Raw genomic sequence first — 12,753 nt, forward strand, 5'->3', positions numbered from 1 at the left:
ATCCAGTGCCAGGGTCCTTCTTGGCCGAGTCAGTGCCTCACAGTGGATTCCGGTGGCTTCTCTGTCCCACACAGTGTCTGGGCCTCACATGGAGGGAAGCTGCTGCGCACTCTTGTTACACTGAAGGTATAAAAATGACCCCAGGAAAGGCTTTACACTCAGGATATGAAAGAAAAGAAGGCCGGGCATGGTGGCTCACGCCTATAATCCCAGCACTTTGGGAGGCTGAGGTGGGCAGATCGCTTGAGCTCAGGAGTTCAAGAGCAACACAGGGGGCAACATAGTCAGACCTCATCTATAGTAAAATATTTAAGGCCAGGCATAGTGGCTTACACCTGTAATCCCAGCACTTTGGGAGGCCGAGGGAGGTGGATTGCTTGAGCTCAGGAGTTTGAGAGCAGCCTGGGCAACATGGCGAAGCCCCATCTCTACCAAAAATACAAAAATTAGCTGAGTGTGATAGTGCACATCTGTAGTCCCAGCTACACAGGAGGCTGAGGTGGGAGGATCGCTTGACCCTGGGAGGCGGAGGTTGCAGTAAGCCAAGATGGTGCTACTGCTCTCCAGCCTGGGTGACAGAGCGAGACCCAGTCCAAAAAAAGAGAGGGATTGTCTTTTCCACATCTACAGCAAGGGCAACAGGAACACAGAGCTTCAGATGCAAAGAATGGTACCACAGCATCAGGAATTGGATGCTGTGCCTCTGTCCCCTGAAGAGCATCAGGAATTGGATGCTGTGCCTCTGTCCCCTGAAGAGCCGCAGGAATTGGATGCTGTGCCTCTGTCCCCTGATGAGCAGCAGGAAAGGTCCCTGGACCCTTCCTGGATTAGCTACACAGACATGGAAATGATGCCTGGGCACACAACTGTGCTCTGGGGGTAAGAAAGAACTATCTCAGTTTGGTGCAAACAGTGTCAGGAATCGACAGCCCCAGGCATCAGCACACACTTGGACTTAGGAAGACCCACTTCCACCACCTGTTCTCCCAGTGACCTGCAGCTCCTCTTTTTTACCCATGGACGTGCGTGCATTAGGATCTGCAGCAAGGGGAACTGTTTGTCCTAAAACTTAGCACAACACGAACTGTGTGTCTAGAAACTTGGGTGAAATGCAGCGACCTGGCTGAAGGCTGCCCAGCAGCAGCAGCTGGGCCCAGCGGGCGGACGGTGGCCCTGGAATGCCCGTGTCCCGGCTGCTTTCTGGTGGGATGACACCCAGTTGTTGGTTCCTCTAGTTTAGAGTCACAGACCAACTGCTTATCTTTATCCCTCCGAGTTAGCACCTGTTTTTGTGAATTAACTCCTTGTGTGCAGCAGTAATAGGAATGTCTAGTGCCCTCAATGCCGACTCAGGCCCACCGATGAAGAGATGGCCACCTCAGGGATCTGCCCACCGCCGCCCAGGTGGACCAGCCCAGGTGTGAATGGCCCCTCCTCTAGGATTGGCAGATCTGTTCTCTCCGTATTTTCTTTCCTTTTCTGTTTTGAACTGGCCTACCTAACCTAACCGCCACTTCCTTCATTAATGGGGAACAAAGGCACGTGGACTCGGATCAATTGTCTAAGGATTTCCACTTTAATCCAGGGTTATTCGGGGGTGAAATGCCCTCTAAGTATTTTGAAAAGCGCCCGGCATGCAGATGGGGCTTAGGGAATGTTTTCTTTCTGGCAAGGAGCACTGCTCCGTAATAACTAGAAAGCGAAAGTTGGCTATCCTGGTGTCTCAAAAGCGGGGTCCTTACACTGGCTGCTTGGGACTGCATCCACAGGGAGAGGTTGTGAGGGTGGGTCAGGGTATTCTGGAAGGCAGAAACTGACAGGAGCAGCCTGGGAGACAGGAGCAGCCTGGGGGACAGGATGCCTCCAGGAGCCCCAGACCTTGAGGACCAATGTCAAGAAGCTGATGACCTTTCTGGTGAACAATGGGCCACATGTTGAGGAATAGTTTGTACTGGCTGCTGGCAGAGGGAGTCCTGCAGGTACACACACGTGGGACGTTCAGGCGTCTCTCATGCTGTCCTCAGGACCACCAATAACAGTCAGATGAGAGGAGACCCCCGTGGCTGTGGCCAGGGGCTTCATGCCTGCATGCTTGGGAGCTGCTCAGGTGTGGCTCACTCTTGGTGGATTTGGGGAGGAGGTGCCCTTTGGTAAAGGTACAGCAGGAGGGTGCCAGGTTCTGCCCAGGTTCAGCTTTGTAGGGTGGATCTGTGCATCATAGGTCTGGGAGCCTTCAGCCCAGGGCATCCGTGCTTTGTGGTGCTTGAAGAGGTTTGCAGGCTCCATTTAGAAATACAAAATTAGGGGTGCATCTTGCAAGTGAAAGCTGAGAAGGGGAGGCTGGGCTTCTGCTGTGAAGGGGACCAGTCTGCTCAATGGCTACAGGTTACAGCTGATCTCATTATTCCCAGGAGCCATGTGCTATAAAGTTACTGCACACAGGCTGAGAGCAGAATCACTGCTTTTGGAAACAAAGGGCCAAGCTCCTGCCACCCTCTGGTCCCATTTTTGTCAATCGATCAATAAAAAACCCTGTTAATATGGTTTGGCTGTGTCCCCACCCAAATCTCATCTTGAATTATAGTTCCCATAACCTCCACGTGTCGTGGGAGGGACCTGGTGGGAGGTAATTGAATCATGGGGGTGGTTACCTCCATGCTGTTCCTGATACTGAGTTCTCATGAGATCTGGAGGTTTTATTAGGGCTTTTCCCACTTTGCTCTGCACTTCTCTCTCCTGCCGCCATGTGAAGAAGGACACATTTGCTTCCCTTTGCACCATGATTGTAGGTTTCCTGAGACCTCCCCAGCCATGTGGAGCTGTGAGTTGATTAATCCTCTTTCCTTTATAAATTACCCAGTCTCGGGTATTTCTTCATAGCAGTGTGAGAATGCACGAATACACCTGTTTTATGTGTGCTCCCATTTAAAGACAACCTATTTAATAGATACTGTGGATTCCTTAACATAGAAACTCCCAGCCAACAGTCACAACCATGACTCCTGTCTGAAGGGAGCTTGGCTAGCGTGTGTTTTCTCTGTGAGGCACATCACAGCCCCCTGCCCTTAGGAACACCAGACACTTCAGCTGCTCTGCGAGTGCACAGGACTAACTACAAAAGCACTGAGATCATTGCCTGCGTCTACAAATTAATTTCGGCAGGGAGGTGACCTCGCAAATAGAGTCCCCAGATCATGAGGGTGGACTGTGGATGTTTCTAAGGGCTTAAGTGGCTCTCCTCTCTCCTGCTCCTCCAGAGGCCCCCAGTTTTCCTCTGCAGAACTCTCTACACACCTGTGCTGGTTGGTGACAAGAGAGACCCTCAGAACAAAACAGATTTGCAGGTGGAATCAAGAAAATCAGGCACCAGACATGCAGAGAGTGAGGGCGACAGGGGAGGGGGTGCCATCCTTGTTATCTGTGGCCTGGGGTGGCCCCAAAGCTGCTCCTGGGTGGAGAAACCCTGGATGAGGGCCTGAGGGACACAGGCAGAAATGTGGGCACACTGGGGTTCCAGGGAGTAAATCGTCCAGTGCTGGAGAGACCCTCAGGACTTGGGCTCATGATTCCGGTGAGCAGTGAAATCGGTGAAGGTGGGAGACGGTTTTGAGAAAGACTGCTTTTTCTCAAGTTGCTTCGCTTTATAGATGAGAGGGCCAGAATTATCTCTGCCCCTGCTTTCTAAGAAAAGTGAGCTGTAACTGTCAAAGGACACACAGCTGGCATGGCCGTGCCCGCTGGGCCTTCCTGACCATGGGTGCCACGAGGGCTGGAGGGGTGCTCACCGTTGCTGGCCCGCTGTTTGATGGTCAGCATCTGCTCTCCAGAAAGCTTTGCCTTCTTCATCGCTGACGTGGCTCTCGGGCATCCTGACAAGCTGTGGACAAGACACAGGACGGCCATTAGTCAACTGTCTAATGTCCCAGCCCTGCAGGGAAGTGGTGGTAAGCAAGGCGTAGAATAGCATTATTAGGTTGGTTGCCAGCAAAAGGCTGTCTGAAAATGAGAAAAAGCAAAAAGACCAATGCATACAGTATGACAGTTATGCACACATGGGGTGCATGTGTGTGCACTCATGCATGTGGTGAGCACTGATCATGGGTGCTCGGCTGGGGCTGCCTCTTGGCGGGGGGTCTTGGGAGCTGGGGCTCTGAGAGCAGAGGAAATCTGCCCTTCATTGTATAACTTTCAGAGCTTTTTGGAACTTTTGTAGAGTGATAATATTGCTTAAAAATCTTTATTATGGAAAGCATCAAGCTCATAGAAAGGTTGGGTTTAAAAGTTAATTTCAAATATACAAAAGTAGAGACAGCAGAATAATGAACTCACCCCAAATTCAGCTGTTATCTCTCAAGGCTAGTCACCTGTGCCCCTCCTGCTTCCCCAGTCTCAAAGGTGAAAACATAACTGCAATCTCCTTATCTCACTTACAATTTTTAGCCAGTTTTCTAGTATCAGCAGCTATTCAGTCTGTTTTCAAACTTTCCAGGTGTCTCTTCACTTTTCTCAGCCACTGGTTTGTCGACGTCAGGATGCGTCTCAGCTCTTCACAGTGTATGTGGCAGATGTGGCTGGCAGCCTCCGGGGCAGGAAGGCACCTCTGCCTCCTTTTCTGTCCTGTTGGGTGTTTGCTGAAGATGGCGTGTCCTGTGTGCGGAGCGCCTCTTCCATGCAGTCCCGTGCCTCGGCTTCCTCACAACTCCTCAGTCTCCGAGGGGCCTTCCCTCCCTTCCAGGGGCTCCTGGACGTGCTGGTCAACTGGAGTCCTCACTGTGCTAAAGGCCAGGGGCCATCTGGCACTTAACTATGGGTGAGGTGAAAAACTTCTATATATAACGCTTTTTTTTTTTTTTTTTGAGAGGGTCTTGCTCTGTCACCCAGGCTGGAGTGCAGTGGCCCGATGTCGGCTCACTGCAGCCTCTGCCTCCTGGGTTCCAGTGATTCTCCCGCCTCAGCCTCCCGATTACAGAATTATAGCCTCTGGGATTACAGGTGTGTGCCACCACACCTGGCTAATTTTTGTATTTTTAGTAGAGACAGGGTTTCACCATATTGGCCAGGCTGGTCTTCAACTCCTGACCTCAGGTGATCTGCCCGCCTTGGCCTCCCAAAGTGCTAGGATTACAGGCATGAGCCACCGCACCCCGCCTATAATGTTTTATATATGTATATGACATATGTGTTTATTCTCTCTATACATAATATTGTATTTCACCTGTATATGAAGTGTTAGATGGACCGTGTCCGTAAGTGGTGTGATGATGTGTTAGTGATATATCTAGAAACACTCTTTACTAGTGCAGGCAGATTACATCATTATTAGAAATATCTCTAATATCTGCATTAATATAATTAAGCTTTCTAAATATTATTTTTGTAATACATTTTCTTTTAAAATTTAAGAAAACAGGAAAATTCATAGCAGAAGAACTTGATCGTAATACATTTTCAACTGGGGATATTAGTGGTTGTTTTTGGGGAAATCCTATCTTTGTATAAAAATATTTCCAGTATTCTTCATCCACACCACAGGTCTAAGTTGTTATTTTTTTGATGTGATGTTTGCATCTCATAATTATAATAGAATATTCATAAAATTCTAAATAATCATTGCTGTTGCCTGACTGTGTCCCCTGAAAACTCGTGCACTGAAATCCTGACCCCCACCGGGATGGTGTTAGGAGAAGGGGCGTATGGGAAGTGAGGAGGCCTCGTGATGGGATCCGTGCCCTTATAACAGGGACCCAGACAGCTCCTTAACCCCTTCTCCCATGTGAGGACAGAGTGAGAAGGCGTCGTCCACCAACCAGAGAGCAGCAGTTGCCAGATGCCGAATCTGCTGGTGCCTCGGTCTCGGACTTCCAGTCTCCAGAACTTGGAGGAATAAATTTCTGGTTTCTATGCTGCCCAAGGTATGGTATTTGTTTTTGCAGCCCTGGAACGTCTAAGACAATCACCAGTATTTGTTGCTCATACCACAACTCTGTGGCTGTGAACTGCTGTGTTTGCTGATGATGTTCCTAGGTTCAGTGGGAGAAGGAGCAGCGGGGACTTTAACCCCAGCGTCATCAGCTCCAGCATCATCAGCTCTGGCGTCATCAGCTCTGGCGTCATCAGCTCCAGCATCATCAGCTCCCGCGTCCTATCCCATCCCAGGGCAAGCCGCACGGGAAGCCCCAGGAGCAGAGAGGCCTCTGGGAACTGGGTGGCCTGACAGGGTGGGCACGGTGGGCGCCCTGGCTTCTCCTGCTTGCCCTGACTGCATCCCCAGGAATCCGGACAGTCCCTGAGGGGGTCCTGGCTCGTGGTTCCCTTTGCTGTTTTTTTGTTCATTTATTTGTTACTAGACATTGGCACTGCTGCTTCTGATGGATCCTCTCACCCTGCCTGCTGCTGTTTACACCGGAAATCCCTGTGCTACTCAAGCTGTCTTTAGTGTGGGGCGTGAACGAACCCCTCGCGTTCCGGAGGGAACAGGCTCCTCTTCAGTCCTCCCTGATGGGGCCTGGGCAACAACCTGGCAGTCGTCCCCACTCCGGGGCACCCTCCTGGGTCTTCTCCTGCCTCCCCATCAGATCCCAGCAGGACGCCCTGCAAATCCGGCTGGGGTGGGGGCTGACACTTCTGCTTCCCTAGCTTATCCGTAAATCTGCTTCTGAAGGCGAGCTGGATATTTTCATTTGTAAAATAAGAAGTTCTCAAAAGATCTGTTAAGGCTCTCCTAAAATAGGATGCTTGGATGTTAACGCCACTTTTCCCCTTCCTGCCACTGGACACACTGTGGCTGTCACACACATCTTCCTGCAGGTGTGTCTGCGCTTTGGCCCCCGCATCCAGGTAGACTCTGCAGTCAGGTGACTACATCTGGCAAGTCCTTTGTGAGACCAGGAGGCCCACTGGACCTCACACCGCACCCCCTGATGCTCTAACGCACATAAGACGTGGAACTGGCTAGGAAAGACTTAGGCAGTCCTGTTTGCTCACTTATGAAATGAGAATAAAATATTGAATTGACTGTGTTTGTGAAGTTTAATGAAAAGAATGTGTATTCTTGAGGGCAAGGATTAAAATGCACTTTTTTGTTCACTGCTCTGTATCCCCATGATGGGAGAGTGCTGGAGATGGAATAGGTGCCCAGTGACGACTTCTGAAAGCATAAAATGTCTGAATGCACTTTGTGATGGCTCAGTGAGTGGAGGCCCAGGGTGAGTGTGAGTGCACCCAGGCTCTGGAAGGTGCAGACTGAGCCCTCAAAGAGGCCTGCGGCAGGATTTTGCAGGACTTCCAAGTTAAGAGAAGACTCTTAGCCGGGCGCGGTGGTTCATGCCTGTAATCCTAGCACTTTGTGAGGCCGAGGCGGACAGATCATGAGGTCAGGAGTTCCAGACCAGCCTGGCCAACATGGTGAAACCCTGTCTCTACTAAAAATACAAAAATTAGCTGGGCGTGGTGGCAGGTGCCTATAATCCCAGCTACTTGGGAGGCTGAGGCAGGAGAATCTCTTGAACCCGGGAGGCAGAGGTTGCAGTGAGCCGAGATCGCACTGCTGCACTCCAGCCTGGGTGACAGAGCAGGACTCCGTCTCAAAAAAAAAAAAAAAAAAAAAGACTCTTGAATGCAGCTGCCGCCCTGGGTTAAGATGAGAGGAGGGCTGGGGTGAGGGCCTCCTGCAGAGGTCCTAAGACTGTGACTGTAGGACAAGGGTGACGCCTGGTCGGTCCACGGTGCGTGTGGCCCAGCCCGGCTCAGTATGATCCTCACAAATGCAGGGAGCAGCTCCCATCTTTCCCCCGCTGAACCTCTCTGGCCTTCCGCCGTCTGAACCTCCGCAGCCCTTTCGACTTTCCCTGTGTTTGCGAATGGCATTGAGGGGCCAGGAGCTGCAGGTGGGGGGGAGAGAGGGAGGGCCACAAAGGCACGCCTCCTCCTCCTTGCCGTCCTCCCAGCGAGCAGCCTCTGCTGTTTGCGCCTGAACCCCCTCCCTTCTCTTCATCACTTCAGTCCAGGTCTGTGCTTCTTTCTCCCTCAGCGAGGCCCCTGGGCCTCAGCCTGGGTCCCATCCGTTCCATCCCACAGCTGAGAAATGGCCCCAGGGGCACAGCTGTGATTGCCCCCACTCCCCCAGGAGAGCTTCCAGCAGCTTCTCTGAGAGCAGCTGCCGATGCTGGAATATTTCCTAGAGCAGGGGTCCCCAAACTCCCGGCCGTGGCCTGTGAGGAACCGGGCCGTACAGGTGGAGGTGGGCAGTGGGCGGGCGAGCATTCTCACCTGAGCTCCGCCTCCCGACACGTCAGCGGCGGGATTCGATTCTCCCAGGAGCGCAAACGCTACTGAGAACTGCGCCTGCGAGGGGGTCCGGGCTGCGGGCTCCTTAGAAGTTAATCCTGGTGATCCCAGGTGGAACGGTTTCATCCAGAAACCATCCCACCCCTTTTCTGTAGAAAAATTAGCTTCCGGCCGGGCGCGGTGGCTCACGCCTGTAATCCCAGCACTTTGGGAGGCCGAGGCGGGCGGATCACGCGGTCAGGAGATCGAGACCATCCTGGCTAACACGGTGAAACCCCGTCTGTACTAGAAATACAAAAAATTAGCCGGGCGTGGTAGCGGGCGCCTGTAGTCCCAGCTACTCGGGAGGCTGAGGCAGGAGAATGGCGCGAACCCGGGAGGCGGAGCTTGCAGTGAGCCGAGATCGCGCCACTGCACTCCAGCCTGGGCGACAGAGCGAGACTCCGTCCCCAAAAAAAAAAAAAAAAGAAAGAAAAATTAGCTTCCATGAAACCGGTCCCTTGTGCCAAAAGGTTGGGGGCCGCTGTCCTAGATGGCCTTTGCGACGGGCTCTTCTCACACGTGCTGCCTCCCGCTGTCCACTCACGAATTCCCCAGGCCAGCGATCTTCTCTGCCGCTAGGTGAACGCCCCTGGCACTCCCACTTGAGTTTGCTGTCCCGCCCTGTCCCCATCCAACTGACCTCCCAACTCTTTACTGTTTTGTCCACAAAGCAGGGCCCGGCCTGCACCAGGAGGCCCTCCAGGCCCAGGCTCTGGCCCACCACAGCGCTGCCTTCCTCGAATCCCCTGCGCCCTGGAGCGCAGCCTCCCGGGACGTGGACATGGGCGGTTCCCATCCTTGGTTATCTTTTCCTCTTCTGCTGGTCTGAGGGTGGTTCCTCGGAATGCCCACCACATTGCTATGTGTATCCCGGTGTCCAGGAGCCTTTGCAGATGGGACATGTTTAGTAAAAATGCACAGCATAGAAAATGGAAACAGACTGACATCATGTCAGTGATTTTTCCTTTAGGATTCGGCTTTTGCAGAAACTGCCCCCAGCCTCCACCTCACTGGGGGTGCGGAGCTCCCCAGCCTCTTTCTCTTTTATGGGTCTTGCCGCAGAATTTTTAAAGATCTGCTCAGTTAAGTTCTTTAGGGCAGGTCTCACTTTCTTTTTCCCACAGTGCACTAAATGCTTGCAGAATGGTAGGTGCAGGCCTGGCGGAGAGCATTCACCCATGAACGAACAGCTCCTTAGTGGTGGGGTGGAGAGTGGAACCTCGTTTCCCTGGCTCTGCTCCAGGCTTGCTTCTTGGGGATTCTTGTTACCTACAACCTAGGAGCTCCAGGGAGAAGTGAAGTACAGGCTTGGAAGTCAGACTTTCTCTGCTAAGTCCTGCTTCTGCTGCTGACTTATTCTAGTGACCTTTCTAAGCTCGGGTGTTTCATTTGTAAAATGGGAATTTAAAAGCAAACAAAATTTCCCACCTCATAGGGATATTTTGAAGGTTGAATATAGAGAAAGGATATTAAACCAGAACCATGAAAGGCAGATGTCAGGATAGCCAGGCCTGGGAGAACAGGTGAGGTTCCGTCCTGTGGAATCAGCTCAGTGAGCTCCGGCCGCCACAGGCCTGGCTCTCTGGGGCACATGGTTGAGAGCCCGAGGTGAGGCCCCTCTGCGGCTGGGCTTGGTGACGCAGCTCCCAGAGCCTGGCTGTGTTGGTGCGGATGTCTCTGCCACCTTCGCTGAGCAGCATCAACAGGCCCCTTCCCCATCCTCTCTGTCGCTGGGGTCCCTCCCTGCTCCCACTCGTCATGAGGGGGTGCATTTGCTTCTTCAGTGGCTCTTGCCTCATGATGCTGTCAGCTCTACCCCAGCAGGGTCATCCCCGTGTCCTTTCCACCCTCTCCACTCAGAATCACGGTTCCTGCCTGGGAAACCACGGGCCCTAGAGGGATGTCTGTTGCGTGAATAAAATAGGAAGGACAGTGTCCTGCCTCTCAGTTGTCAGGAAGCAAGAGGGGCCGAGAGGCCGAGCTGCTTTCCCACTCTGATTCTGAGGAGGGAAGAGTGTGGGGGAGCACCCCCCTGGGTACACCTCCATGGAATCCTAACAGCCACCCCTTCCCCATGCCCTGCCCCCAGAACTCCCGGCCTCTCCGCACCAGACAGTCGGTCAGGCCAGTGTCCCAGGGCTGCCTGGCCCATCTCTCCTTTGTCCTGTAGTTTATCTTTTCTAGTTTAGAATTATTTTTTGTCTCTTCTTAGCCATAGATGGCTTTTCCTGCATTCAAACCCTTAGACTGGGGAGTGGCTCCAGGCATCCAGGTGAGAGGCACACGGCACCGCCCCGAGAAACTCCGTGGCTCCCTGTGCATCAGCACGCTTCATCACCAATGGAACGCCCCATGGCACAGTTATCTCTTTTTTTTCTTTTAAAAATATTTTAATAGAAACTAGGTCTCACCATGTTGCCCAGGCTGGTCTCGAACTCCTGATCTCAAGCGACCCTCCTGCCTCAGCCTCCCAAAGTGCTAGGATTACAGGTATGAACCACCACATTCAGCCTTTTTGTTGTTGTTGTTAAGAAATAAAACAGAAATTTTGATGGCTTAAAGTCCCATGTTAAAAATTTTGTATTATCCATTACTAACACATCACACAAGCACTTTCCAGCTCAGGTAGTGTTTGGGGACCCAAGGCAAGCGATCATTCTGAGCTACGCTGTATGGATTAGCGAATGAAGCAGAAGCACTTGGGGAAACCGGACAGGCCCCGCGGATAGCAGTTGTGTGGTGCCTGGCAATTCCTGGCTCAGGAGCAGAGCTCTCCGCCGGGTTCCCAGAAGCTTTGGGCCCCGGTGGGCACCCCCAGAGGAGAGAGGGAGGAGCCGCTCAAGCCCCCCCACGCCACTCACGATGCTTCCTCCCTCCTGTTTTAGATCCAGCAGAGAAACCAGCCTAACGGGGAGGAGGTGCTGCGTGAGGAGCCAAGGACATTCCCAGCAAATACTTTCACAGCTTAAAAGCCACAGCCAAAAGCAGCTGCTGAGGCTACGCCAAGACGAAGGCGCATAAAATGAGGATGGACATGGTGCACGTTGGCTGCTTTGACTTGACTTCAGGGAAACCCCGTCACCCATGTTCTCTCGCTTCAGGCGCTTCTTTCAAGGCCACTGAGTGAGCGCACAGTGACAGCTGTGGCCCCCCAGGGGGTGGCCCTGTCCCGTTCCTATGCCCCAGTGTATGCACAGGGCCTCACTGCCCGGCTGGGGGCCTGGGGCCTGCATTGTAGGGTGAGAGGTAGACGAGAGGACCCCGGGGTCCTGCCAGTTGGTTCCGTCCCAGGGTGGACCCCTGTTGTCGGCAGCACCCAGGGGTCCCTGCAGACGCCGTGCTCCAGAGGGGCTGCACACGGCCACCTTGTCCTCAGCTCCCCATGGGTGCCTCAGCTCCTGAAATCATGCAGTGTGGTCAGAAGGTGGCTCCTGCTGGGAGGTGGGCACTGGGGTACTTGTCCACTCTTATGTCAAAAAGGCCCATTTTCTCATGACTTGATTACAAAGTTCCTTATTAAGTGTATTTAGTCATATCTATTAGGGATCTCCCCATCCTGGCTTCTCCTACCTTGAAAATAAAGGAACAGAACTAAGTTATGTGCGGTTAATTAAGTGCATGGGAGAGAACCACCCAGAGGACCGACGGCTCCAGGAAGCAGAGGCCACCGGTGCAGGGAGGCAAGTCCCCCATGGGTGGGGGGATAGGGGCGCCACACGGCCGGAAACTGCAGAGTCCACATTCCTGGACCCACACTGCGGTTCAGCACCGGCTTTGCCCACAGTCTCACGCTGCTTCTCTTCACTCTCAGTTAATAAAACTGCCTGCTGGGAATGACAAATAATGGTGTTATTTAAGGAGCAGGAGCCTTCAGCAAGAGTTTGGGAAACTAAATTAGGAAACAAAGACGGGCCTGAAGAATGATGCATTCTGTCCAAACGCGGCTGTGTCGGTGCTGCCAATTCCAATCCGGTGACTGCACTGCCAGCTCAGGTCCAATTTGGAAGAGAACCCTGGGAGCAGGCCCAGCGCGGCCCTGGGGGGTGGTGGCGGCCCTGGTGCGGTGACAGTGCCATCTAGCGGTGGCCTGGGGGCGGTGCTGGTCCCGGGCTCTCGGGAAAGTCCACACACCTGGCTCAGCCAAGGAGGTCAGCCCACGGCTGGTCCCGGGTGTAAATTATAAAGAGGGTGCTTACTATTTTACTCACACGTTAGTTCTGAACCTGAGACCCAGCGGCCTGTTACAGAAACGCTTCTCCAATTAAAGTCAAGTGCTGCTGAGTGTAGGTTTGGAAGTCACCAAGTTTCAGTGCGGGGAGGTTCCGGGCAGCAAGTAGTTAGGCGGCTGCTCCACCCGCTTGCCCCAGGCCCCAGACGTCTGGCACCAGGCGTCAGCACCAGGGATTCCAGATGAAGGTTCCAGCG

The 12,753-nt window shown here is 53.0% G+C and overlaps 1 protein-coding gene across 28 annotated transcripts in view, besides 1 other annotated feature; it reads right to left on the reverse strand.

Annotated features, from left to right (window-relative positions):
• The window catches only part of MYT1L (myelin transcription factor 1 like), a 542,163-nt gene that overhangs the window by 16,178 nt on the left and 513,232 nt on the right, over positions 1-12,753 (reverse strand). For all 28 annotated transcript variants that reach the window (NM_015025.4, NM_001303052.2, XM_011510326.2 and 25 more), the window contains one exon: positions 3,786-3,877. In NM_015025.4, coding sequence (NP_055840.2) covers positions 3,786-3,877 — 92 coding nt within the window. The remainder of the gene's footprint in view (positions 1-3,785; positions 3,878-12,753) is intronic.
• Positions 11,044-11,956: an enhancer, noted in NCBI's record as "H3K4me1 hESC enhancer chr2:1820106-1821018 (GRCh37/hg19 assembly coordinates)". NCBI's record gives its function as "activates a minimal SCP1, AML or CMV promoter by ChIP-STARR-seq in naive and primed H9 embryonic stem cells {active_cell/tissue: H9 hESC(naive and primed)}" and the evidence as "EXISTENCE:reporter gene assay evidence [ECO:0000049][PMID:30033119]".

This window comes from Homo sapiens, chromosome 2 (genome assembly GCF_000001405.40).
Source record: "Homo sapiens chromosome 2, GRCh38.p14 Primary Assembly".
In the NCBI taxonomy this organism is placed as follows: Eukaryota; Metazoa; Chordata; class Mammalia; order Primates; family Hominidae; genus Homo; species Homo sapiens.